Source organism: Homo sapiens, chromosome 11 (assembly GCF_000001405.40).
Source record: "Homo sapiens chromosome 11, GRCh38.p14 Primary Assembly".
NCBI classification, from domain to species: domain Eukaryota; kingdom Metazoa; phylum Chordata; class Mammalia; order Primates; family Hominidae; genus Homo; species Homo sapiens.
This window is the reverse complement of record NC_000011.10, coordinates 8438856-8466197: the sequence shown is the minus strand read 5'-3', so window position 1 is coordinate 8466197 and position 27342 is coordinate 8438856. Positions and strand designations below refer to the sequence as shown.

The 27342-nt window shown below is 36.7% G+C and overlaps 1 protein-coding gene across 57 annotated transcripts in view; it reads left to right on the top strand.

The window, feature by feature from the left end:
• Nucleotides 1-27342, top strand: part of STK33 (serine/threonine kinase 33) — a 259405-nt gene that overhangs the window by 128031 nt on the left and 104032 nt on the right. For 56 of the 57 annotated variants that reach the window (XR_007062494.1, XM_047427469.1, NM_001289059.2 and 53 more), the window contains 6 exons: nucleotides 1376-1489; nucleotides 4289-4393; nucleotides 8719-8857; nucleotides 11366-11454; nucleotides 13292-13376; nucleotides 25445-25520. Coding sequence is in view for 55 of the 57 variants with exons in the window: in XM_047427469.1 (XP_047283425.1) it covers nucleotides 1376-1489; nucleotides 4289-4393; nucleotides 8719-8857; nucleotides 11366-11454; nucleotides 13292-13376; nucleotides 25445-25520 (608 nt within the window). In the remaining 2 variants the exon portion in view is untranslated. The remainder of the gene's footprint in view (nucleotides 1-1375; nucleotides 1490-4288; nucleotides 4394-8718; nucleotides 8858-11365; nucleotides 11455-13291; nucleotides 13377-25444; nucleotides 25521-27342) is intronic. The other variant, XR_001747939.2, reaches the window with a different exon arrangement.

Genomic DNA, 27342 nt, shown 5'->3' with positions numbered 1-27342 from the left:
TTGAAATGTGAACATATGTGATTTGGGAAGGGCCAGAGTTGGAATGATATGGTTTGGCTCTATGTCCCCACCCAAATTTCACCTTGTAGCTCCCATAATTCCCATGTGTCATGGGAGGGAACCACTGGGAGATGATTGAATCAGAAGGGTGGGTCTTTTCCATGTTGTTCTAATGATAGTGAATGGGTCTCACGAGATCTGATGGTTTTAAAAACAGGAGTTTCTGTGTACAAGCCCTCTCTTTGCCTGCTTCCATCCATGTAAGATGTGACATGCTCCTCCTTGCCTTCTGACATGATTGTGAAGCTTCCCCAGTCATGTGGAACTGTAAATCCAATAAACCTCTTTCTTTTGTAAATTGCCCAGTCTCAGATATGTCTTTATCAGCAGCGTGAAAACGGACTAATACACATGGTGAATGTGAAAGTGATCACACATACAGAGAGAGAGAGAGTGGCATTTTGAGAGTGGCATTTCTATGGAAGGCTTTGACTAGCTGACCCAACCAGGGCATTACCTAGTGGCATTAGTTCAGCTGCTCTCCCATGTTCTGGTTCCTATGCACGATGGGTCCAGAAACTCTTGTTAATTCCCTGGAGTTGATTTGGATCAGGGAGACTGACTCCCCCAAAACCAAATTGATAAGAAATGAAGGTGTAAATGAGTTTAGCTGTTTATTATTTACAATGCAAACCAAAATGGTGATGTTGGCAAAACCAATGTATTCTTTCTTTATAAGCAGAAGTTAAATGATAAGAGGATGGATTCTTGGTTTGGATGATGGTTTTATGGGTAGTGGTTATTTTTTTCTCAGTGCTGATCTGTGTTGAAATTTTTGTCACATATTGCTTTTTTTTTTTTAAAGCAAAAGGAATCAAAAGTGATTTTTCATAAGATACAGGAAAAGCATTAGTTGTTAAATAAAGAAACATTTGTTCAGTAGTTACTATGTGTCGATTTTGTAGTATAGCTCTCAGAAATTTGGGATGTTTTGGGGTGAATGTATTTTATATCTACACACACTTATGTGTGTGTATATATATAAATCATTTCTCCTTTTTCTTATGAAGATATTTCATTAATATATTATAGTTTGAAAGAGATTCATTTTTATACTTTTGAGTTTTTCCACATTTCACCATTAGGATTTTTATGGTTTTCCTCCAAAGGACACTTAATAAAATTCATCAACGCTTATTTTGGTTAATTAAGATGTGTTTATTAATATTGAAGCAAATATATAGTGTCTTCTATTTGATTTTAACTTGGAGCAGAATCTCTTTTCCCTTGGGTGAGTATCTGTCAGTATTATATGTTCATTTTTAATAGCTGATGAATGGCATAGAGAGACAACTCTTTTTTTTTTTTTCTCCAGGAAATCTATACCTTTGGAAGAATATTGGGAAAAGGGAGCTTTGGAATAGTCATTGAAGCGACAGACAAGGAAACAGAAACGAAGTGGGCAATTAAAAAAGTGAACAAAGAAAAGGTAAGGCTCATTAGCAGCATCCTACTGAGGGCACAGTGTTAGTGCAGGGTGGGTGTGGACAGTACAGCTTTTTACACTAACACAAGCTGCCTCTCACCCTGAGGTCCCAGGCCTGGGCTGATCCCCCAGAGAAGCGTGGCATTTCTCTAGCCTCCCGGAAAGGGACTAGTTTCTGAACTCAAGTAGGCAAGTGCTGCCTGGAAAAAACAAATGAAAGGAATAACATAACCAATATAACAAAAAATAGGTAAATTTTACCAGAGTTTGCTGAAGATAAGGGCTGGTTCTCAGTGTTCTGTAGGCATAGGGCTGTGGGCTAGAGATATCTTAGCTAGAAGTGCAGATACTCTCTCCTGATTTTGTTTTGATATACTTTTCTCCTATCCTCTCCTTTCATTTCCTCACTGTTCGCTAATTCTGTTTATTCATCCTGCCTGCTCTTTCATGTTGAACCACTTTTTGCTTCAACTAACTACTGCTATACTCTTTTATCTGCTGCACTCCTCACTAGATTTCCTCTTGAACTGGGGAACGACTGAGCTTCTCTTGACGATAAAATCTAAGACCTCAGACTTTACACCTGATCATTTCATCAACCTTTTTCATTTCTGTGCCTGGGAAAAACCAAACAACATTATGGTGTTTTCCCCTAGGATTTGTGATGATAAATACCACATTTAAAAAACAAAATGGTAGGTTTTATGTATTATTTAAAACAAACTGTAGCAAATTACATACCATTTGTCCCTAATGTTTAGTAAGGTAACATATCAATCTTAGTAAAGGGATTAAGAGCCTTTCTAGAAATCTTTAGAATTCGGGTAGCATCCTAAGTGCTACCTAAGGTGTTATTTCCTTTTCTCCTTTGGTGTTAGCTAGGGTTAGGGGTTCAGTTTTTGGGTTATATAACTATCATACCTACTTGCAACTTTAGGAATTAATAATCTTTCATATTTATATTGATGTTGAGAGTTTTTAAGACCAAAAGATAGTAAGATAAAACTATATAGTCAGTATATGAAGTGAATAGTGTAATATTGTGTTATATTCAGGCCAAGCCATTTGGGAAGGGGTGAGAAACAGAATTGAGATGGATATTAGGAGAAATTGGGGTAACTTTCCATATCTAGTCTAGACAAAAATTCACTCCTCACAGTCACTATTTCTCTTGATCCTTTAGGTCGAGGGTCCCCAACCCCCAGGTCTTGGACCGGTACCTGTCCGTGGCCTGTTAGGAACCAGGCTGCACACCAGGAGATGAGCAGCAGGCGAGTGAACATCACCACCTGATCTCTGCCTCCTGTCAGATCAGCAGCGGCATTAGATTCTCATAGGAGTGCAAACTCTACTGTGAACTGTGTATGTGAGGGATCTATGGATCTATGCTGCATGCTCCTTATGAGAATCCAACTAATGCCTGATGATCTGAGGTAGAACAGTTTCACTCTGAAACCATGCCCTCTCCCGCAACCCTGGTTCATGGAAAAATTGTCTTCCATTAAATCAGTCCCTGGTACCAAAAAGGTCGGGGACTGCTGCTCTAGGTTAACCTTTAAATGTGACTTAATCCTTGGGTGGGGCATAGTATGATGGGCAGCATCCCACCCACTCCTGAGATGCTAAAGGTTGAGGAGCAAAGGTAATTGGAAGCTGGAATGACACTAGGTAAAATTTTAATTAGGCAAAATTTGCCTTATGACTAATCCATTTCCACTCCCTTAAGAACCATTATGTACTCTCCCAAATCAGGTGGATGGGAGGTGGAGGAATAGGACCTTTTTTATCCCTTGCAGGGAGATTTTTTTATTAGAAATAAATGAGGACAATGCTTATCCTCAAATAATGACAATTTCAAGATCAATAGGGGTGATGATTTGGCAGGGCGGTGATGGTGAGGGTGGAGAAAGCCCTTCTAGAATTTCTGAGATAGAGGACATTGTAGATTATCAATTACCTACACCCGAATGAAGTCCTTGTGCTCCTTGGAGTGTTACTGACTTTACCTTTTGCTATCTGCATGGTGAGTGTTAAATGTTAGGAGACATCTAACATCTGAAGGCAAGATCTCTCTCTCTCTCTCTGTCTCTGTCTCTCTTTGTCTGTCTGTCTCTCTCTCTTTCCGTCTCTCTCCCTGTTTCTCCCTCAGTTAACCAGGCAGGCCAGGAAGTAACAGTGCAGAGCCGAGTGTAGAATCTCATTGCCTATTATTTTTTCATACATACATATATATATATATGTGTGTGTGTGTGTGTGTGTGTGTGTGTGTATATATGTATATATGTATATATATGTGTGTGTATATATATGTATATATATATATAATCAAATCAAAACAAGACAACAGCAAAACAAAGAAAAACTTTTTGTTTTTTTTCTTCCTCAATTTATGTCCTTGGAAGTAGATTTTGTTTTTATTATGCTAACATCAAGGGATCAACATATTTTTAAAGGAAATATCAAAAAGCCTATTAAAAGTTGGAGTAATTTTCATAGTTTTGTGAGGAGACAGATACCATGTTGTAGCTAAGTTATAGAAACAATTCAAGAAACAGATGTGGCTTGAGGCAAAATTATATGTAACTTAAAATTGGACAAAGGAAAGAAGGGGCATAATTTAATCTGATCACAGGAATAAATGGCATGATATCATTTGAAAAAGAAACATCTCAAAAAATGTATGAATTCACTTCAAATATGAAGTTACAGGAAAAAAAGTAGGAAAACATAAAATAACTTTTCTATCAAGGAATGTAGGAGTGATTTTCATTATGTGAAATCTGTGTTTCTTCATTGATTAAGGCTGGAAGCTCTGCTGTGAAGTTACTTGAACGAGAGGTGAACATTCTGAAAAGTGTAAAACATGAACACATCATACATCTGGAACAAGTATTTGAAACGCCAAAGGTAAACCTCTATTAGGCGCTGCATTTTGAAAGTTGTTATTATTACAAAATGAATATCATTCCATTCTGAAATAATCCCTTTGGGGCACAGTTGCTCATGTCCTTGGCCATGAGTCTGTCACTGGAGATTGATGAGAACATTCTGGAGGACTTTTATTATTGATTGCATAATTAGATGTCTGATGATTAGATTGATGTCTTCAGTAATATGTTCTGGGTGGCATGTTGAAAACAAATGTTTAAAATTACAACAACTTCATACACAACCAAATGGTGATTAGAACTTTCTTAGAGGTGCCTTTCCTTTTGCTTTGATCCTTAGTTTCTCCATTAAAGTTTATTGGAATATTTTCATAATTTTGCAAAGTTAACTACATAATCAAATTGGTATGGGTATATTTTTCACTGCAGTTTGTAGGAGATATTTTTTCATCTATGTCTTACTGATATGTTTTATCTTCATATTTCCCTAGATGCTATCATTCTTCTCTTTACCTGTAATTTTTATTTAGAGTTGTTCAGAAGCCTGGATTATTTGCCATTCTGCCTCCAGACAGTTTAATGCTTGTGGGCTTGGGTGTTTTCTCTTAGAAGAGTAATAATGTACGGATTAGGCGTATGGACTGTGGAATCATATTGCCTGTGCATTTGAATCCTGGCTCCACCACTTCTTAGTTATCCATGAGACCATGGACAAGTTATTCAGCTTGCCCATATTGCAGTTTCCTCATCTGTAAAATGGGCTTGATAACAGTGTTGACCTCACTTGGTTGCTGTTGAAGGATTAAATGAGACAATTGATATAAAGCATCTGTCTCATTAAATGTTTCTCTATTGTTCTTTGTCTCCTAGGCCAGTCTCTAAGGTAGTAATAGTCAATTTGGGTTGTGCCTTATGCTTGATTCATTAGGGGTGCTTGATAACAATTAAAGACCACAGTTATCCTTTATAAGAGCAGTATATGGCAATGATGCCCAAAGTCTCTGCCCTTTTCAGTCTTAGACTTGTGATTTCTTTTATCCCCAAATCTTCTTAGAATAGTTTTGTTCGTTATCATCAGCTTTAAGCCATTTGATTATAATGTGCCTTGATATCATTTTCTTCATGTTTTTTTTTGTGTTCGGGGTTCATGGACTTGTGAGTTTATGGTTTTCATCAATTTTAGGAAATTGGGGGCTATTATTTCCTCACATTTGTATTTGCCTTCCCCTCACCCCACTTTGTGGTCTCCAAGTTAGATTGCTTGATATTGTCCACAGTTCACTGATGCTCTGTTCATTTTTTAAATCATTTTTTATCTCCTTGTTTCATTTTGTATAGTTTCTGTTGTTGTCTTCAAATTCAGTAATCTCTCTGTGTAGTATTGTATGTGTTGTTAATCTCTTCCAGTGGAAATTTGATTTGGTTTTAAAATATATATATATATCTATATATTCCATGTGTCTACTTAACACGCTCGGTCTTCTTGAATAGAGTTATAATAACTGTTTTAATGTCCTTTTCTACTGATTTTGTCATGGGTGTCATTTCTAGATCAGTTTCAATTTATTGTTTTTTCTCCCCTTCATTATGGGTTCTATTTTCCTGCTGCTTTATATGCCTGTTAATTTTTGGCCAGATGCCAGATGTTGTGAATTTTACCTTGTTGGATGCTAGATATTTTAATATTCTAATGATTATTCTTAAGCTTTATTCTAGGATATAGGTAAGTCACTTGGAAAGTTTGATACTTTTTGAAGCTTGCTTTAAGCTTCATTAGGTGGCACCAAAGCAACCTTTAGGACTAATTTTTTCCTGTTACTGAGGGGCTCTCCCCAGTGCTCCATGAATTACGAGGTTTACCTCCAGCTCATGGGAACACAGCTGTTCCTGGCTGTGTGTAAGCTCCAGTGATTGTTCCCTCTGCCCTTTTTGCATATTTCCCCCCCAGCTTTGGGTAGTTTCCTCATACACATGTGTTGATTCATGCTCTCCTGAAGAATTGAGGGGATCCTCTGCAAATCTCTGGAGATTTCTCTCTCTACAGCATTCTCCTCTTTGATGCTCCGTCCTGTGAACTTTAGTTGTCTTGACCTTCCTGGGCTTCCAACTCCATGCCCTCTACTCATGGAGACTGCTAGGCTCTGCTTGGATTCCCTCTCCCTCTTCTGTGGTCTAGAAACTCCCTAGACAGCAAGCTAGAATAATCGTGGGGAATGCCTCATGTATTTCCTCTCTCTCAGGAATAACTACCCTATGCTGGCTGATGTTTAATGTCTAAAAATTATTGTTTTATATATTTTGCCCAGTTCTTAAGTTGTTTCAGGTAGGAAGATAAGTCTGGTCTTTGTTACTCCATTATGGGTACAAGCAGGAGTCTAAATCTAGAGTAAGTTTGAAGGCAGAGGAAACCATCATCTGTGATTTTTCCAATGTATTGCTTTCCCTTAATTCATGTAGATCAGGTCTGACACCCTCTGCCTCATAAATACACACAAGCATGTAGACTTTCTATTGAAGCTATCTTAAGTATTAATAGAAATTGCCACCTGATTGGTTGTGCCATGGTACTGATCATCCAGTCTGACTATGCTATGGTTTCTTGTGAGTCTAAGTGTTCTCCAGGTCTACACAGTTGTTTCTAATAATTATAACACAGTTATAACTTATATAACTTTGACCAACTTATATATTTAAAATTGACCAATTTATATTTCAAGTACTGCTAATCCAACCTTTCCTTCCAAATAGTTCACTTATCATTTTATGTACCAGTGAACTGTACAGTCCTGTCAATGGAAAAAATATGGTCCAGTTCAAAAGCTTATTTATGTGTTAGATTTTGCAGTTACTTTTGAAATTCTAAAACTGCCTGAGATTCAGTGAATCTGAATTGCGCTATAGGAAGAAAGGATGTTAACCTTCGCTTCCTGTTTTCATACTTACTGATTGAACACAGAATTGCACTAACAGTGCTTATAAGAACAAAATCAGACTTCAAGATCTTAAAAACAACAAAAATCTAGCAGCATAGGTTATAAAGGAGACATAAAGGGTACCCTGTGTTTGAATAGAAATATGTATGAAAAAGACTTGCTTTTTAGTTGACTGTGAATCTTTTTTGACTCAATAGATGACTTGGCTGTTGGAATACCTAAAGTGATCTTAATATGGCCCCACATGAACAGCAAATATGGAAGAGGCATTTCAGCTATGACTTCTTACCACTCACACCCAATTAGTCACTAAGTCCCACTGTTTCTTTCTTGTTGGTATTTTTAAATCTTTTCATTTCCCTCCTTCTTGTCTCGATTCTATGCCTCACATCTACCCTCTAGAAACAAAAGTCAGCATACTACAGTTTGAGAGCCACATTGGGCCTGCTACCTGTTTTTTTTTTTTTTTAATGGCCCATAAGCTAAGTTTCTGCATTTCCAAATGGTTGCAAAAATGTAAAAGAGTAATATTTCATGTCATGTAAAAATTCTATAAACCTGAAATTTTCAAGTCTAGAAGTAAAGTTTTGTTGTGTTGTTTATGGCTGCTTTCTCCTGCTACAGCAACAGCACTGAGTAGTTGTGAAAGAGACTCCATGGCCTTCAAAGCCAATAATATTTGCTATTGGGTCTGATCTCTATAGCAAAGGTTTGTTGAGCCCTGTTCTACATTACTGCTAGAATGTTCATTTAGAAATGCACAATTGGTAATATCATACACGTGCACCCCGCAACCCCGGCACTAGCTTAAAAATCTTCAGTGGCTCCTTATTGCATATGGGAAAAAAAATCCATACTCCTTATCATGATATCCAGAACTCTTTACAACCTGGCCCCAACCTGTTCTTTCTAGCCTCACTCCTCACCACTTCATTGTTCTCCACCCTACCAAGTTCTCCATGTTATTAACACTGAGATTATTCTTTTAACAGACAGTGCTGTTTCAAGCTTTGGAGTCTTTGTAAATACCATGTGCTCTGCCTATTCTTTCCCACATTCTCTATCTATAAATCCCTATTCAGACATCTAGACCTGGTCTTAATATTTCTTCTCAAGGGGCATTCTTTAGACAGAGGCTGCCCCTCTTCTGTAACTCTATGGCATTTGGGGCCATTAGCACTTATCACATGATACTGTAATGATAACTATTTGTGAGCTTCTTGGGGATAAATACTATGTCTTTACCTTTTTGTTTCTCTAGTATCCAGTATGGTATCTTGTACATAATAGATAATACTTTTGAATGAATAAATTAATGATTATGACTGTGATTGTATATGTGATATATAACATTTTAAAGATCCCCAGATATATAATTTGCTCTCTCTCTCTTTTATATATATAATGTCAGAAAATGTACCTTGTGATGGAGCTTTGTGAGGATGGAGAACTCAAAGAAATTCTGGATAGGAAAGGGCATTTCTCAGAGAATGAGACAAGGTGGATCATTCAAAGTCTCGCATCAGCTATAGCATATCTTCACAATAATGGTAAGAAGAGGGTTATCCAGCTCATTGACCCCATGAATACTAATGTCACTTTTGTTTAAGGGTAATTGTATTCCAGATTCATAGTCATATAAATAACACCTGCTAATATAGAAGATTTAATTTTTAGTTAAAAATGTTTCCTTTTTAACTTTCTTTTTAGATATGTTTTAATTAGAAATATGAACGAAGATGAAATTATGAACATTTTTTATTCAACAGTTTGAAGAGAAGCTAATGTTATAAAATCAAAAGTAGACAAATCAATGGTAAAGGTGAAGTTTCCCAAAACATCTATTAATCATAACATTAGAATCTGTATGTTCTAGGCATTTTTTTGTCTTTGTAGACTTTATTTTAGAGCAGTTTTAGATTCACAGCAAAACTGAGCCAAAGGTAGAGAGATTTTCTATATACTCCCCTGCTCGCACTTATGCACAACCTGCCCCACTGTCAAAATCCCCCACTAGATTGATATATTGCATTGACATATCATTGTCACCCTAAGTCCATAGCTTATATTAGGATTCACTCTTGGGGTTTTGACAAATGTGTAATGTCATTTATCCACCATTATAGTATCATACAGAGTGGTTTCACAGTACTTTAAAAACTACATTTAAAAATTATTCTAATTGCCTTACTATTCTTAGGTGTTACTGCTGCTGCTCCTCCCCCCGTTTTTTTCCTTCGAGGTTAGTTTGGCTTACATGTGACTTTAGAACCTTCTCACTTTACAGATGAACAAAAACTTTGTTCCAGAGAGGTGCAGTGACATGGTTTGGTGTGCTAGAGCTGGTACTGGAACCCAGTGGTTCATCCAGCTGATAGTTCCCGAGCACCTACTGCATTGAGATTGGTCCTAGATTACAAAGATTAAAAGACAAGGCCCCTGCTCTCCAAGGAACTTGGGCTGGTGGGAGATTGATTATTGAAAACAAGTTGTAATTCAACATGATAATCTCCCCAGTGGAAAGCCATATAAAGCACAAGGATTACAGGAGTTTAAGTTACCTCATTTGGCTTGGAAAGTCAGGAAAGAATTCACTGAAGGAGCAATATTTGATCTGAGGAATACAAACTCAGAAAAAAATTAAAAAGGCAGGCTTTCTAGGCAGAGGGAAACGATTTTTTCAAGGGCTTAATATTATGCTATTGTCAGTCCTTCCCTATTAAGCTATAAATTCAGTATAATTCCAAACAAAATCTTAGCAACATTTTTCATGGAACTTGATAAGATTATTCTCAAATGGGTAAAAATAGCCAACAATGAAAAAGAAGAACAATGGAGGCAGCAGGGAGATCTGCCCTGGCAAGGATAAAAGCATAATGATATGTTTGTTAAAGCTGTGTGGTATTTATGTAAAAAGAGACAAGAAGAGCAATGGAAACAATAAAAATTCCAAAAACAAAGCCTGGGGATTGTGTAAGGGAGCTATAAATGATTAGGTATAATTGCCAGTGCAGGACTCATTCAATGCATTCCTCTAGCAATTATGTGTGTAACTTTTTTTTTTTTTTTTTTTTTTTTTTGAGACAGAGTCTCTCTCTGTTACCCAGGCTGGAGTGCAGTGACACGATCTCGGCTCACTGCAAGCTCCGCCTCCCAGCCTCACGCCATTCTCCTGCCGCAGCCTCCCGAGTAGCTGGGACTATAGGCACCCGCCACCATGCCTGGCTGATTTTTTTTTGTATTTTTAGTAGAGATGGGGTTTCAACGTGTTAGCCAGGATGGTCTTGATCTCCTGACCTCATGATCCGCCCGCCTCAGCCTCCCACAGTGCTGGGATTATAGGCGCAAGCCACTGCGCCTGGCCGTGTATAACTTTTTAAGTCTAGGGAAATGTTTGCAATGGATATGAACTGAATTAATTATTTGCAAAGGAAGTGTTTGGTACATGGTTATTTGTATGTACATAAAAATTGTACCTGAGCTCTGACATGTTCAACTGGAGATTTTGTGTCTCAAGGGTTTTTGTTTGTTTGTTTTTTATTTTACTACATAAAGAGTAGGAAAATGTGTGTTGATGTTGTAGAAAAATATACTGAAATAAGTATAGTTTGTATATATGTAGCCAAGTTACAGTGTGTTAAAATGTTTATGCTGACAGTAACATATGCATAGAAGTAAAGAAGTAATCCTGTATTTGAAGACCGAAGGATATGGGAAACCTGGCTGGGTTTGTGACTAAGATGATCTCCCTCCTCCTGGGAATACCTAAGCATGGGTAGGATCCTCCTTCACACTCCCCAGGCCACTCATCATGAGGAGCAGCCAGCTGGGGTCACAGGGAAATGGGTAGAGGTGAGGGAGTCAAAGAAAATGGCTCCTTAAGGTTAGAAATGTGGAGGAAGCATTTATAAATGAGAGAATAGAACAGGACAGACTATGCTTGGCCCTCAAATTTTTCAACAGCGGATATTAATTTGTCAAATATATTTAATCTATATGTGTCTCTCCTATTTTTCCATTATTCATTTCATTTGATTTGTTGTTTATTTTCTTGGTAGATATTGTACATAGAGATCTGAAACTGGAAAATATAATGGTTAAAAGCAGTCTTATTGATGATAACAATGAAATAAACTTAAACATAAAGGTAAGATTAGCAATGGTGGTAAATATTTGCCTGTAAACAGTTTGATAGCAAAGTGGCAAAGTACATCCTCTTTTTAGACACATGTTGCTAGCTTTTGAGCAGCCAGAAAATAAGTGGCTTGTGCTAAAAAATAAAAATTTCACAAGAGGTTGTAACTGACAAGAATAATTTTGCAAGTTAAGTGGAGCTATTGAATGTGTTTTTAAAGTACATATTCATTTGAATAATTCTAAATCATTAGTTAATAGCAAGCAAACAGATGCTCTGAATTCTAATTAATTTCAAAATTATGTCTGGTAATTTGATGTAAATGTGTTACAGATTTAGAGAAAAGCACACCTTGCGTGTGCTTTTGATACTAAATTAATTCTAAAGTCTGTATTTCTTATTGAAAATTTTCCTGTGTATTAATATTTATGTCCTAAGTACAATTAATGTGCCAAGTGTTTATTCTTGAAGATTTTATTCAAATTAAGTGTTCCCTAATGTCAAATAAATGCTACGATACATTATTTAGCACCATTATAGTGGCTGCTTTCAAAATATATAAATGTGTTAATTTAGAAATAAAATGTTGTCTGTGAGTAACTCACTCTGTTGCAGAAGCTAAGTCCTATGTAATAGAAATAGGTTTAACAGCATTGTTGGTTTACCCAAGTAAATGTTCTGGAACAGTTCCATTGTAAACTCTATGAAGGCAAGAATTGTGCATGTCTTATTCACTTAGTACCTGAAGTAGTGCCTGGAACATAGTATGTGTTCACTTAACATTTGATGAATGAAGGAATAGATGCTCTCCAAAGAACTAAGTTGGATTGTGAAACTTTTTGTATGTTTCATGTGTCTGAATGGATTTTCTGTAAAGAAAGATAGGTATCATATGCTCCAAGTGAGATGTTTGTGAAAACTAATGGAGAAATTGATTCATCTGTTTAGAAAAATGGTGATATCACATGTAAATAGGAGCATTTTCTTACTCCATAAGGCACTGGAAACTTTGCATTCATTGTCTCTGGACAAAGAGCCTATATTTGGTTACTTAATCAATAAATGTGTCTGTTTTTCTGCCTTCAGTCTAAGGGTGTTCCACTTTGGGAGATAATTCCAAAGCCACATACTGAATATTTAATAACTAAATGTTTAATGACCAAGATTTAGAACTGAGCAGAAGGCCTACAGTTGCGGCACTAGGCCACCAGTGTATTTGTAGTTAATACTTGTTGTTGTGGTTTTTTTCCTGTTAATATGCTTGTTGTAGTTTTTAATAGTGTAGTAATTGTTTTAATTAGTATACTCTAGAAACACAAAGGAAACAATAGTAAAGAAAAGATACTGTTTACCAATTATAAATAATTATAAAAAAGGAGAGTTTCAGTGAGTGCTGACAGGGATAATTATTTGCATTTATAACAGTGCTTTAAACTGGAATATAACTTGATTATCAGAAACATAGATAATATGTTAAAGCCAGAATATATTTTACAAGGAAAGAACTTTTTTTAAAAACAAAAATACCTTTTTTATATGAAAAAGATTAAATGCCTCAAAATACAACTTCTCATGTTAGACTGGTGAATTTAATCAGATGGCAAGAATGGTTAAATCATGGTATTCTCTCAAGATTTGAGAACGCAAGCTTCTCTTTACCCAGTTTCTCCTCTATACAGAGAGGTGGGTGGGGAAGGAAATGCAAAATTTTTATTAATGATTCAATTAAAGTCCTCCCACCCCCAAGAACCCCAGAATTCAATGCAAATTCAATGTGAAGTCTTATCTTCAGAATGAGTGAGCTCTAGGACAGGAAAACAGGTGACTGTGCTTGAATTTCTTCTCCCAGGTGACTGATTTTGGCTTAGCGGTGAAGAAGCAAAGTAGGAGTGAAGCCATGCTGCAGGCCACATGTGGGACTCCTATCTATATGGGTAAGTTAGTAGACTTAAAATTAATTTTTGTTTTGAGACAGGATCATCCTCTGTTGCCCAGGCTGGAGTGCAGTGGCATGATCTTGGCTCACTGCAGCCTTGACCTCCTGGGCTCAAGCCATCCCCCCACCTCAGCCTCTCAAGTAGCTAGGACCACAGGTGTATGCCACCACACCTGGCTAATTAATTTTTTTTTGTTTTTAAGAGATAGCAGTCTCACTGTTTGCCCGGGATGGTCTCAAAACTCCTGGGCTCACGTGATCCCTCCAGCCTCTCCTTTCCCAAGTGTTGGGATTACAGGCTTGAGACACTGCACCAGACTTGATTCTTTTATGTGTAAAAAAGTAGAACAACCAGTATGGATTACAGCTTGAACAATTTTTGCCATCATGACATAATGACCCATGATTTAGGCTTTTCTTAGGTCAAGCAATTTCACTTGTTTTAGTATTTTACTTACAGTTCCTACCTTTAAAGATTTAAAAAAATTTTGTTATTTCTCTGGGCTCTTCTTAAAGTTGTTTATATCTCTTAGGTAATCATACCCCAAACTTAATTATTGCTTTTGTTAACTCATGTTAAAATCATGTGCATGTTTTGCTTGTTTGCTTTTTTTTTCGAAACGGAGTCTTGCTCTGTCGCCCAAGCTGGAGTGCAGTGGCGCAGTCTGGGCTCACTGCAACCTCCGCCTCCTGGGTTGAAGCAATTCTCGTGCCTCAGCCTCCAGAGTAGCTGGGATTACAGGCACCTGCCACCACACCTGGCTAATTTTTGTATTTTTAGTAGAGACAGGTTTTTGCCGTGTTGGCCGGGCTGATCTAAAACTCCTGACTTCAAGTGATCTGCCTGCCTTGGCCTCCCAGTGTTGAGATTACAGACGTGAGCCACCATGCCCAGCCCTCTTTGCATTTTTTTATCCAGTTTCATCGCCATCAAACAGTTTTTCATGGAGTACTGATTAGATATATTTTGTAAAGAAAGCAGCAGTTTCCTATTTTTCTAAATGTGAGTTTTAACAGCTTTATTGAAGTTTAATTTAAATACCATAAAAGATATTTGTGCATCCTTTACAATGTAGGATATATTTTTGTTTTACAATAAAAATACAATGATTTTTCATACATCCACAGAGTTGTGCAACCATCACCACAATCCAGTTTCAAAACAAATCTACTCCAAAAAGTTCCCTCAGCTCGTTTATACTCAATCTTATTCCTATCCCAGTCCCAGGTAGCCACTAATCTCTCTAGATTTGCCTTCTTGTCTCTCTAAATGTGCCTCTTTTTTTTTCTTTTCTGCACATTTCATATAAATGGAATCATAAAACATGTAGTCTTTTACATTTGGCTTGCTTTCACTTAGAATAATGCTTTTGAGGTACGTTCATGTTGTAGCATGTATCTGTAGTCTGCTCTTCTATATTGTTGAATAGTTGTCCATTGCGTGGATATACCACATTTTGTTTATCTACTTACCCCTGATGCACATGTGGATTTTTACCAGTTTATGGCTATTATGAATAATGCTGCTATGAATATTCATGTACAGGTCTTTGTGAGGGTATGTGGTTTCATTTAGAAGTATTTTTAGAATTAGTTACTAAGAGTGAAATTGTTGGATCATATGTTAAGTTTATGTTTAATTTTTTATGAAATTGCCAAACTCTTTTACAAAATGATCGTTACCTTCCCACCAGCAATTTGTGAGGGTTCCAGTTTCTCCATATCTTCGACAACTCTTGATATTACCTATCTTTTAAATTATACAGTTCTAGTCCTTAGGACTAGTATCTTAGGAAGTGGTGTCTTGTTGTAGGAAGTGGTATTTTATTGTGATTTTTAATTTGCATTTTCCTAATGATTACTGATGTTGAGCATCTTTCATGTGCTTACTAGGCATTCATATATTGTTTCTGGTGAAGTGTCTATTTAAATCTGTACCTATTGAGATAATCGTATTTTTCTCTTTAAATTTATTAATGAAGTAATTACATAATCAATTTTAGAATGTTGAACCATCCTTGCACATTTAAATTCAACCTCACATGGTTTAATGTACTGCATTATTCAATTTGTCAGCACTTTTATTTAGGAGCTTTGACTGTAGCTTTTCTTCTTTTGTGCTTCCTTTGTCTTTTCTGATGTTAGGGTTATGCTGGCCTCATTTAAAAAATAATTTTTTTAACTTCTTGAACTTTTTTTTTGTTATTGAAAAAATAATAAAAATCATGAACTTTTTTTATTATGATCATGAACTTTTTTTTATTATTATACTTTAAGTTCTAAGATACATGTACAGAAGGTGTAGGTTTGTTACATAGGTATACATGTGCCATGGTGGTTTGCTGCACCTATCAACCCATCATCTACATTAGGTATTTCTCCTAATGCTATCCCTCCCCTAGCTCCCAACCCCCCAACAGGCCCCGGTGTGTGATGTTCGCCTCCCTGTGTCCATGTGTTCTCATTGTTCAACTCCCACTTATAAGTGAGAACATGGAGTGTTTGGTTTTATGTTCCTGTGGTACTTTGCTGAGAATGATGGTTTTCAGCTTCGTCCATGTCCCTGCAAAGGACATGAACTCATCCTTTTTTATGGCTGCATAGTATTCCATGGTGTATCTGTGCCACATTTTCTTTATCCAGTCTATCATTGATGGGCATTTGGCTTGGTTCCAAGTCTTTGCTATTGGGAACAGTGTCGCAATAAACATAAGTGTGCATGTGTCCTTACAGTAGAATGATTTATAATCCTTTGGGTATATATATACGCAGTAATGGATTGCTGGGTCAAATGGTATTTCTAGTTCTAGATCCTTGAGGAATCACCACACTGTATTCCACAATGGTTGAACTAATTTGCACTCCCACCAACGGTGTAAAAGCATTCCTATTTCTCCACATCCTCTCCAGCATCTGTTGTTTCCTGACTTTTTTAATGATCACCATTCTCACTGACGTGAAATGGTATCTCATTATGGTTATGATTTGCATTTCTCTAAAGACCAGTGATGATGAGCTTTTTTCTTTCTTTCTTTCTTTTATTATACTTTAAGTTTTAGGGTACATGTGCACAACGTGCAGGTTAGTTACATATGTATACATGTGCCATGTTGGTGTGCTGAACCCATTAGCTCATCATTTAACATTAGGTATATCTCCTAATGCTATCCCTCCCCCCACCCACCCCACAACAGGCCCCAGTGTGTGATGTTCCCCTTCCTGTGTCCATGTGTTCTCATCGTTCAATTCCCACCTATGAGTGAGAACATGCGGTGTTTGGTTTTTTGTCCTTGCGATAGTTTGCTGAGAATGATGGTTTCCGCTTCATCCATGTCCCTACAAAGGACCTGAACTCATCATTTTTTATGGCTGCATAGTATTCCATAGTGTATATGTGCCACATTTTCTTAATCCAGTTGATCATTGTTGGACATTTGGGTTGGTTCCAAGTCTTTGCTATTGTGAATAGTGCCGCAGTAAACATATGTGTGCATGTGTCTTTATGGCAGCATGATTTATAATCCTTTGAGTATATACCCAGTAATGGGATGGCTGGGTCAAATGGTATTTCTAGTTCTAGATCACTGAGGAATCGCCACACTGTCTTCCACAATGGTTGAACTAGTTTACAGTCCCACCAACAGTGTAAAAGTGTTCCTATTTCTCCACATCCTCTCCAGCACCTGTTGTTTCCTGACTTTTTAATGACCGCCATTCTAACTGGTGTGAGATGGTATCTCATTGTGGTTTTGATTTGCATTTCTCTGATGGCCAGTGATGATGAGCATTTTTTCACGTGTCTTTTGGCTGCATAAATGTCTTCTTTTGAGAAGTGTCTGTTCATTTCCTTTGCCCACTTTTTGATGGGGTTGTTTGTTTTTTCTTGTAAATTTGTTTGAGTTCATTGTAGATTCTGGATATTAGCCCTTTGTCAGATGAGTAGATTGCAACAATTTTCTCCCATTCCGTAGGTTGCCTGTGCACTCTGATGGTAGTTTCTTTTGCTGTGCAGAAGCTCTTTTGTTTAATTAGGTCCCATTTGTCAATTTTGGCTTTTGTTGCCATTGCTTTTGGTGTTTTAGACATGAAGTCCTTGCCCATGCCTATGTCCTGAATGGTATTGCCTAGGTTTTCTTCTAGGGTTTTTATGGTTTTAGGTCTAACATTTAAGTCTTTAATCCATCTTGAATTAATTTTTATATAAGGTGTAAGGAAGGGATCCAGTTTCAGCTTTCTACATATGGCTAGCCAGTTTTCCCAGCACCATTTATTGAATAGGGAATCGTTTCCGCATTTCTTGTTTTTGTCAGGTTTGTCAAAGATCAGATGGTTGTAGATATGCAGCATTATTTCTGAGGGCTCTGTTCTGTTCCATTGGTCTATATCTCTATTTTGGGACCAGTACCATGCTGTTTTGGTTACTGTAGCCTTGTAGTATAGTTTGAAGTCAGGTAGCGTGATGCCTCCAGCTTTGTTCTTTTGGCTTAGGATTGACTTGGCAATGTGGGCTCTTTTTTGGCTCCATATGAACTTTAAAGTAGTTTTTTCCAATTCTGTGAAGAAAGTCATTGGTAGCTTGATGGGGATGGCATTGAATCTATAAATTACCTTGGACAGTATGGCCATTTTCACGATATTGATTCTTCCTACCCGTGAGCATGGAATGTTCTTCCATTTGTTGTATCCTCTTTTATTTCATTGAGCAGTGGTTTGTAGTTCTCCTTGAAGAGTTCCTTCACATCCCTTGTAAGTTGGATTCCTAGGTATTTTATTCTCTTTGTAGCAATTGTGAATGGGAGTTCACTAACGATTTGGCTGTCTGTCTGTTATTGGTGTATAAGAATGCTTGTGATTTTTGCACATTGATTTTGTATCCTGAGACTTTGCTGAAGTTGCCTATCAGCTTAAGGAGATTTTAGGCTGAGACAGTGGGGTTTTCTAGATATACAATCATGTCATCTGCAAACAGGGACAATTTGACTTCCTCTTTTCCTAATTGAATACCCTTTATTTCCTTCTCCTGCCTGATTGTCCTGGCCAGAACTTCCAACACTATGTTGAATAGGAATGGTGAGAGAGGGCATCCTTGTCTTGTGCCATTTTTCAAAGGGAATGCTTCCAGTTTTTGCCCATTAAGTATGATATTGGCTGTGGGTTTGTCATAGATAGCTCTTATTATTTTGAGATACATCCCATCAATACCTAATTTATTGAGAGTTTTTAGCATGAAGCATTGTTGAATTTTGTCAAAGGCCTTTTCTGCATCTATTGAGATAATCATATGGTTTTTGTCGTTGGTTCTGTTTATATGCTGGATTACATTTATTGATTTGCGTATGTTGAACCAGCCTTGTATCCCAGAGATGAAGCCCACTTGATCATGGTGGATAAGCTTTTTGATGTGCTGCTGGATTTGGTTTGCCAGTATTTTATTGAGGATTTTTGCATCGATGTTCATGAGAGATATTGGTCTAAAATTCTCTTTTTTTGTTGTGTCTCTGCCAGGCTTTGGTATCAGGATGATGCTGGCCTCATAAAATGAGTTAGGGAGGATTCCCTCTTTCTCTATTGATTGAAATAGTTTCAGAAGGAATGGTACCAGCTCCTCCTTGTACCTCTGGTATGTTGGCTGCATAAATGTCTTCTTTTGAAAAGTGTCTGTTCATATCCTTTGCCCACGTTTTGATGGGGTTGTTCTTTTCTTGTAAGTTTAAGTTCCCTGTAAATTCTGGATATTAGCCCTTTGTTAGATGGAAAGATTGCAAAAACTTTCTCCCATTCTCTAGGTTGCCTGTTCACTCTGATGATAGTTTCTTTTGCTGTGCAGAAGCTCTTTAGTTTAATTAGATCCCATTTGTCAATTTTGGCTTTTGTTGCCATTGCTTTTGGTGTTTTAGTCATGAAGTCTTTGCCCATGCCTATATCCTGAATGGTATTGCTTAGGTTTTCTTCTAGGTTTTTTATGGTTTTAGGTCTTACATTTAAGTCTTTAATCCATCTTGAATTAATTTTTGTATAAGGTGTAAGGAAGGAGTCTAGTTTCAGTTTTCTGCATATGGCTAGCCAGTTTTCCCAACATCGTTTATTAAATAGGGAATCCTTTCCCCATTGCTTGTTTCTATCAGATTTGTCAAAGATCAGATGGTTGTAGATATGTGGTGTTATTTCTGAGGCCTCTGTTCTGTTCCATTGGTCTATATATCTGTTTTGGTACCAGTACCAGGCTGTTTTGGTTACTGTAGCCTTGTAGTATAGTTTGAAGTCAGGTAGTATGATGCCTCCAGCTTTGTTCTTTTTGCTTAGGATTGTCTTGGCTATAGGAGAAAGTGGGGAAGATCTAAAATCGACACCCTAACATCCCAATTAAAAGAACTAGAGAAAAAAGAGCAAACATTCAAAAGCTAGCAGAAGACAAGAAATAACTAAGATCAGAGCAGAACCCAAGGAGATAGGGACACGAAAAACCCTTCAAACAATCAATGAATCCAGGAGCTGGTTTTTTGAAAAGATTAACAAAATATATAGACTACTAGCCAGACTAATAAGAAAAAAGAGAGAAGAATCAAATAGACACAATAAAAAATGGTAAAGAGGATATCAGCACTGATCCCACAGAAATACAAGCTACCATCAGAGAATACTATAAACACCTCTACACAAATAAAGTAGAAAATCTAGAAGAAATAGATAAATTTCTGCACACATACACCCTCCCAAGACTAAACCAGGAAGAAGTCGAATCCCTGACTACACCAATAACAAATTCTGAAATTGAGGCAGTAATTAATATCCTACCAACCAAAAAAAGCCCAGGACCAGACCGATTCACAGCCGAATTCTACCAGAGGTACAAGGAGGAGCTGGTACCATTCCTTCTGAAACTATTCCAAACAATAGAAAGAGGGACTCCTCCCTAACTCATTTTATGAGGCCAGCATCATCCTGATACCAAAACCTGGCAGAGACACAACAAAAAAAGAAAATTTCAGACCAATATCCCTGATGAACAGCGATGTGAAAATCCTCAATAAAATACTGGCAAACTGAATCCAACAGCACATCAAAAAGCTTATCCACCACAATCAAGTCAGCTTCATCTCTGGGATGCAAGGCTGGTTCAACATATGCAAATCAGTAAATGTAATCCACCACGTAAACAGAACCAAAGACAAAAACCACATGATTATCTCAATAGATGCAGAAAAAGCCTTTGATAAAATTCAATACCACTTCATGCTAAAAACTCTCAATAAACTAGGTATTGATGAAACGTATCTCAAAATAATAAGAGCTATTTATGACACACCAACAGCGAATATCATACTGAATGGGCAAAAGCTGGAAGCATTCCCTTTGAAAACTGGCAGAAGAGAAGGATGCCCTCTCTCACCACTCCTATTCAACATAGTATTGGAAGTTCTGGCCAGGGCAGTCAGGCAAGAGAAAGAAATAAAGGGTATTCAAATAGGAAGAGAGGAAGTCAAATTGTCTCTGTTTGCAGATGACATGATTGTATATCTAGAAAACCCTATTGTCTCAGTCCCAAATCTCCTTAAGCTGAAAAACAACTTCAGCAAAGTCTCAGGATACAAAATCAATGTGCAAAAATCACAAGCATTCCTAGACACCAATAACAGACAGAGAGCCAAATCGAGGGAACTCCCATTCACAGTTGCTACAAAGAGAATAAAATACCTAGGAATGCAACTTATCAGGGATGTGAAGGACCTCTTCAAGGAGAACTACAAACCACTGCACAAGGAAATAAGAGAGGACACAAATGGAAAACATTCCATGCTCATGGATAGGAAGAATCAATATCATGAAAATCGCCATAGTGTCCAAAGTAATTTATAGATTTCGTGCTATCCCCATCAAGCTACCATTGGCTTTCTTCACAGAATTGGAAAAAACTACTTTAAAGTTTATGTGGAACCAAAAAATGAACCTTTTAGATAATAAAAATTATCTAATAATAGTTTGAAATTTCCTCTTAAATTTTTTGGTTCTGCTGCTTTTTTGGGGATAAAGTTTCTATTATTTTTTCAATTTATACTAAATTATCCAAGTTTTCTGCATTTTCTTGAATCATTTTGATAATTTATGTTTTTCTAGAAAATTGTTTCTTTTATTGAGACTTCAGTTTCATTGACATAAATATGCATATTATGTTTACTTATTATTTTCATATTCTCCTGTGTACCTGTGGTTATATTCTCCTATAAATTCAATATGCACTTATTATCTGCTCTTATCACAGTTTCTATATGTATAATAGGAATTATGTCACTCATTTCTAAAAAATTTTTTGAGGACCTACTTAGTGTCAGACATTGTTCTAGGTATTAAAAATACAACAGTGAACAAAACATAAAAATGTTTTGCCTTCATGGAACTTAACATTCTTGTGGCACAAACATTAAACAAGATTTTTATAAATCTGATGTTTTAGAGCAAAGTGCTGAGTACAAAAAAAAGGAAGGGTGATAGGAAGTGTTTAGAAGACAATAGTTTTTTTTTATCAGGTTGACATGAGAATTAAATGAGAAAAAATATATAAAGTGCTTAGCAGTGTCTAGCACTTAGGCCTGAATTTTAGCTCTTTGTAATACTAATAATTTTATCTAGATCAAATTTGTTAGTGGTTAGGACAGTTAATAAATAATAAATAAAGCTCCCAATGGGCTTTTCAAGAACCAGCTCATATCTAATTGTTATTTGGTTTGCTTTTTCATTAATTTCTGCTTTTATTTTTCTGAATTCCTTCTTTGTTCTTTATTTTGGTTTGTTTGTTAATTTTATTTTATTTTTTTGGAACAGGGCCTCCCTCTGTTGCTTAGGCTGGAGTGCAGTGGTGCAGTCACAGCTTACTGCAGCCTCAGCCTCCTAGGCTCAAACGTTCCTCCCACCTCAGCCTCCCCAGGAGCCAGGAGCAAGGAGCACAGGCATGTGCCATCATTCCCAGATAACTTTTTTCTGTTTAATTTTTAGTAGAGATGAGATCTCATGCCCCGGCTGATCTCAAACTCCTGGGTTCAAGCGATCCTCCTGTTTTGGCCTCCCAAAGTGCTGGGATTATAGGTATGAGCCACTGTGGCTAGTGGTTTGTTTTTTATTATAACTTCCTAAGTTGAATACATATTTATTATCAGGCTTATTTTCTATGAAATGCATTGGAGGCTGTATATTTTCCTCTGAGTACCTTGACTTTTTTTTTTTTGCCATACGGTGTTCTAATTGTGATTAATCTCTTGATATACTTTAATTTTAATTTTAGTCTTGTTTAATAGAAAAATTATTTATAAGTGTTTTTAGAATTTTTCCAGGTGGTTGAGATGTGTTTGAAATGCATGGAATGCATGTTAGTTGTCCTAGCCTTTTGGTTTATCTGTCTGGTTTTCTTTATTGTGGTAGGTGATTGCATCTTAAAGGTTTTCAACTTTTAGGAATTTTCTTTGTGACTGAACACATGATCAGCTTTTGCAAATGATGCGTTGGATATTTTAAAAATATGTATGTATACCTGGTTTGTTGAGCATAAAAATTTCTGTGTGTGCTTATTAAATGAAATGTGATATTTTTGTGATTCAGATCTTCCATATTGTTGGTGTATTTTTGCTTGCCACTTCTGTTGATCTCTAAGAGAGTCATTAACCAAGAAAGGTCTTTGACACATTGTTTTTGTACTTTTAGTAGATTTTTTAAAATCTGCTTTTTAGGAATATAGTTTACTTGCAATAGGATGTACACATTTTAAGTTTTGACAAATGCATACACTTGTGTAATCACTACCCCATTATGTTCAAGTCATAGAACATTTCTGTCACCCCAGAAAGTTCCTTTGTGTCCCTTTCAGTCAATCCCCCACCCATAACCACTGATGATTTCTATCACCACAGCTCAGTTTTGCATATCTAGAAGTTTATATAAATTGAATCATACAGTACATACTCTTCTGTGTCTGTCTTCTTCTTTTGTCTTACATCATGATTTTGAGACTTATCCATGTTGTATCAGTAGTTTATTCATTTTTATTGCTGAAGAGTATACGTAATTCGTTGCTTTTTTTGTCTGCTAGATGCATAAAGTTTTGAAATTGTTTTATCTTATTTGGGAAAAGGCTACTTTAGATTCTGTTCATATCCCCCTGTTGGCAAAAGACATCTGGTCTGTAGTTACATGGGGAAAATATATTCAAGCACCCTGAGTTTAATGCCTCCTTATTAGTTGTCTACACTGATAACAAGTGAGAACAAGAGAGAAGACAGATGGTTTGTGGAGCTTTGCTGACTTCCTAAATGGCTTCTTGGCAGTTACTCTGGCCTCTGCATCCCTATGAGGGCTGGGATGACAGTGCAAATCGAAATGCCCCTGATAATTAAGATGACTCTGAAAGAGCGAGGACCAGGATTTCCCGTCCCCTGCTGTGTGCTGCACCAGTGTGGAAATCGTTCACTGAATCTAGTCACAGAATTTGCCCTTGTCATAGACATGTGGCCATAGAGCAACTGGAACTTTAAAAATTCCATATTTAAAGATTTTAAGTAGAGTTAACAAATACAAATAATGGCTTAAAGGGAAATATTAGTTAATTTTCAATCATTTGGAGACAGATTGCTCAGTGTTAGTAATCTGTACATTCTTTCTTCTGTTTAATCTTTTGACCCCTTTTTGTTGCCTTTCATCTCTTTAACACTAGGCAGAGGAAAAAGGAGGAAATGAAATTCCATTTGCTTTTAGTAGTCATAAAAGTGTGTGTGTGTGTGTGTGTGTGTGTGTGTGTGTGTGTAGGTGTAGGTATGTGTAGGTGGGAGAGATTGAAACTTTTCTAAAATAAAAACGCACCTTTTGCATAGGAGGCACTCTGCAGCTGTGTAACATTAGGCAAGTCACTTAATATATGTGAAACTTAGTTTCCTCATTGGCAAAGGGAGTCAAATGCTTACGTATCTATCTCACAGAATTCTTAACATACTTCATACAAATAACAATTTATGCAAAAGTATAAATTTTAAAGTTCTATTGAAATATATACATATATTGTATTTTTCTGCTTATAACTATTTTCTTTTTATTTTTTCTTAAATATATCTGATTCATAGCTATAGAGGTACAATAGACATGTTCCTGCAGTGTCATTTGTGACTTTTTAAAAAGGCAGCCAGCTGAGTGTGGTGTCTCACGCCACTAATCCCACCTATTCAGGAGGCTGAGGTGGGAGGATCACTTGAGGCCAGGAGTTTGAGGCCAGCCTGAGCAGCACAGCAAGACCCCATCTCTAAAATAATTTTTAAAAAACAATTAGCCAGGCATGATAGTATGCACCTGTAGTCCTAGCTACTCAGGAAGCTGCGGTGGGATGATACCTTGAACCTAGTAGTTTGAGGCTGCAGTGAACTGTGATCATGCCACTGCACTCCAGCCTGGACAATAGAGTGAGACCCTGTCTCAAAAAAAAAAAATACACACACACACACACATATATATATTTAGTATAGTCTATGTCCTGTGACTAGTTGGCTTTTTGATCCAGTTTTATAGGAGCTCTCTCTTTGTCTTGGCTTTCTTATTTGAAAATGCAGAAAATAGTTCATATTCTGTTATAGGAGTGATGCTATTATTATTTTACTAAAGTGATTTATAACCACGTACCTTAGTTTTTCTGTGAATCCAGATTTCCACATATTGGGCCTGCATTATGTTACATCTACTTAAGGCATATATTTAATTCTATTTTGTGGAAAGGGCTGGGATATTGTTGTCTTCTACTATAACTACAGAATCTTTGCAAAATCATTTCTTAACAATTTAAAGAAATAAAGGGTAGTGCATTTAGTTATACAGTTTACACCATTGTTCCATTAGAAGCTAAATGATAGGAGTGAGGTTACAGTGACATCAATTGTTAAGGCCTGTGCATTATTCATTTAAGATCTGCTGTTGGTTCTCTTTTCCCTATGGGGGAATAAATTACAGCACATCAGCACATTTTTCATGCTTGTGTTTAAGCATTTAAAAGACATTTATTGTATTATTAATGTTATTTTATATCTGCTTGTTTGGCAGCCCCTGAAGTTATCAGTGCCCACGACTATAGCCAGCAGTGTGACATTTGGAGCATAGGCGTCGTAATGTACATGTTGTAAGTAGCCTGCTAAATGTACACTTTAAGATGAGTGGATAGTTTCTAACAGTAGAGTGATATAGACTTTAAATTAAAACTAATATATATTTTTAAAAAGTGATTTAAAAACCAATTGGGAGATCATTCTAAAAGCTCTCTTATTAGTTGTCAGGTATACATACATCCCTGAGGTATTTTTTAATACTGTAAATTTATAACTTTCAGCTTTGGTTTTCATTGATCTATAAATACAACAATATGATCTGAGCAAAATGAAAAATCTTAACACCTTCCGTATCCTTTGCTACAAACCAAAAGCTTCTTTGTGTTTTCTCATGAGGTTCACTTATAGCTTATCAGGTGTAGGGAGGTACTGTGGCCTGGCACTTGTTCTACCCATACAGGCAGAGCATAGGTGGGAGTGGGCACTAACTAGGCAGAGGGTCACTTAGGATCTAGGGAGTATTCTACAGTTCCCAGTTCCCATAATGATGTTGTGCTGCTGGAGCTTTCAGTCATTCTTGTTCTTCCTTCTCTGTCATTCTCAAGATTCAGTCAAACTCCATGTCCTGCTCATTTTTCCTTTGAAATATCCTTACCTATTCTTTGATTTCTCTTCACCTGTATCTTTTCTCCTTATGATTCCTTTTCTAGACTATTGCAGGGTCTTTCTGACTGTTCTCCCTACTTCTGGTCACCCTCCCCATGTTTGTCCTTCACGTTGCTGCCAGGGGTGTCCTTTCAAATCACAAATCTGATCATACTGCTTTCCTGATTAAAATCCTCTGATATATATATAAAAGCCTCTGATATATATATATATATAATTATAATATAATATATATGTAATCTAATACATATATATATGTATTTGTATACGGAGAAGTGTCAGAGCATCTTGGCATGGCATGGCATGGCATAGCAGAGCAGGTCTTTCATGACCTGATTCCAGAATGCCTTTCCAGTTTGGGGCTGGATATGTATTCCTGTGCACCTACACTGTGCTATAATGATTCCAGGTCACATTTCAATACTCGGACACACCCTGTGTCATATGCCTCTGGAGTGTGTATGGGTATGTGTGTATTCTTTTTCTCTGTAAGATTCTCTCCTGGGTGGACCCAGCTCAAACATTAAGGCCTTCTATTTCTCTACTCCTACTTTACCCCACCATAGCAGAGTTCCTACATTTATTAGGTATATACTTTCTCATGCTCCACAAAAGATTTTAAGGTATCATGCAAAACAGTAATGTTGAAAGAAAAAATAATAAAATAGGAACATTTAACCAGGAAGGTTTACACATGTGTAAATCCAATAGAATTCATTGTTCCCTTTTATGTATCCTCATAAAGCTTTTAAAAACCATATTATAATATTATATATATTGTATCTGTTTTCCTTGTTCTAAATTCCATGGAGGACAGAGACCTTAGATTATTCATCTTTGCATTCCTGGTATCTGGTATAATAGACATACATTCAGTGCTCAATATGTTTGTTAAATTGAATTAAAGTGAATTTTCTAAGAGGTGTTCTGAAAAGTTAGTGACCATTGTTCTGCCTCTTGCTGAATGTGAACATTTTTATGTTGATGCAACATTAGTTTTATGGTCATATTGAAGATTTCACTATGCACTGCCTCTTCCAGATCATTTCTAAATATTGACATCACAGTAGTTACATTTTCACAGTTGTGTGAAATGGAATATACAGGCAGTAGAAATTGGATGATGTGATTGTAGCTGTAACTCAGCTGGTCAACACACATCGTTGCTTAGATTACATAAAGTATAAAAGTATTCAAAAAGTTTTTGATCATCGTTTTGTGCTGATTAAA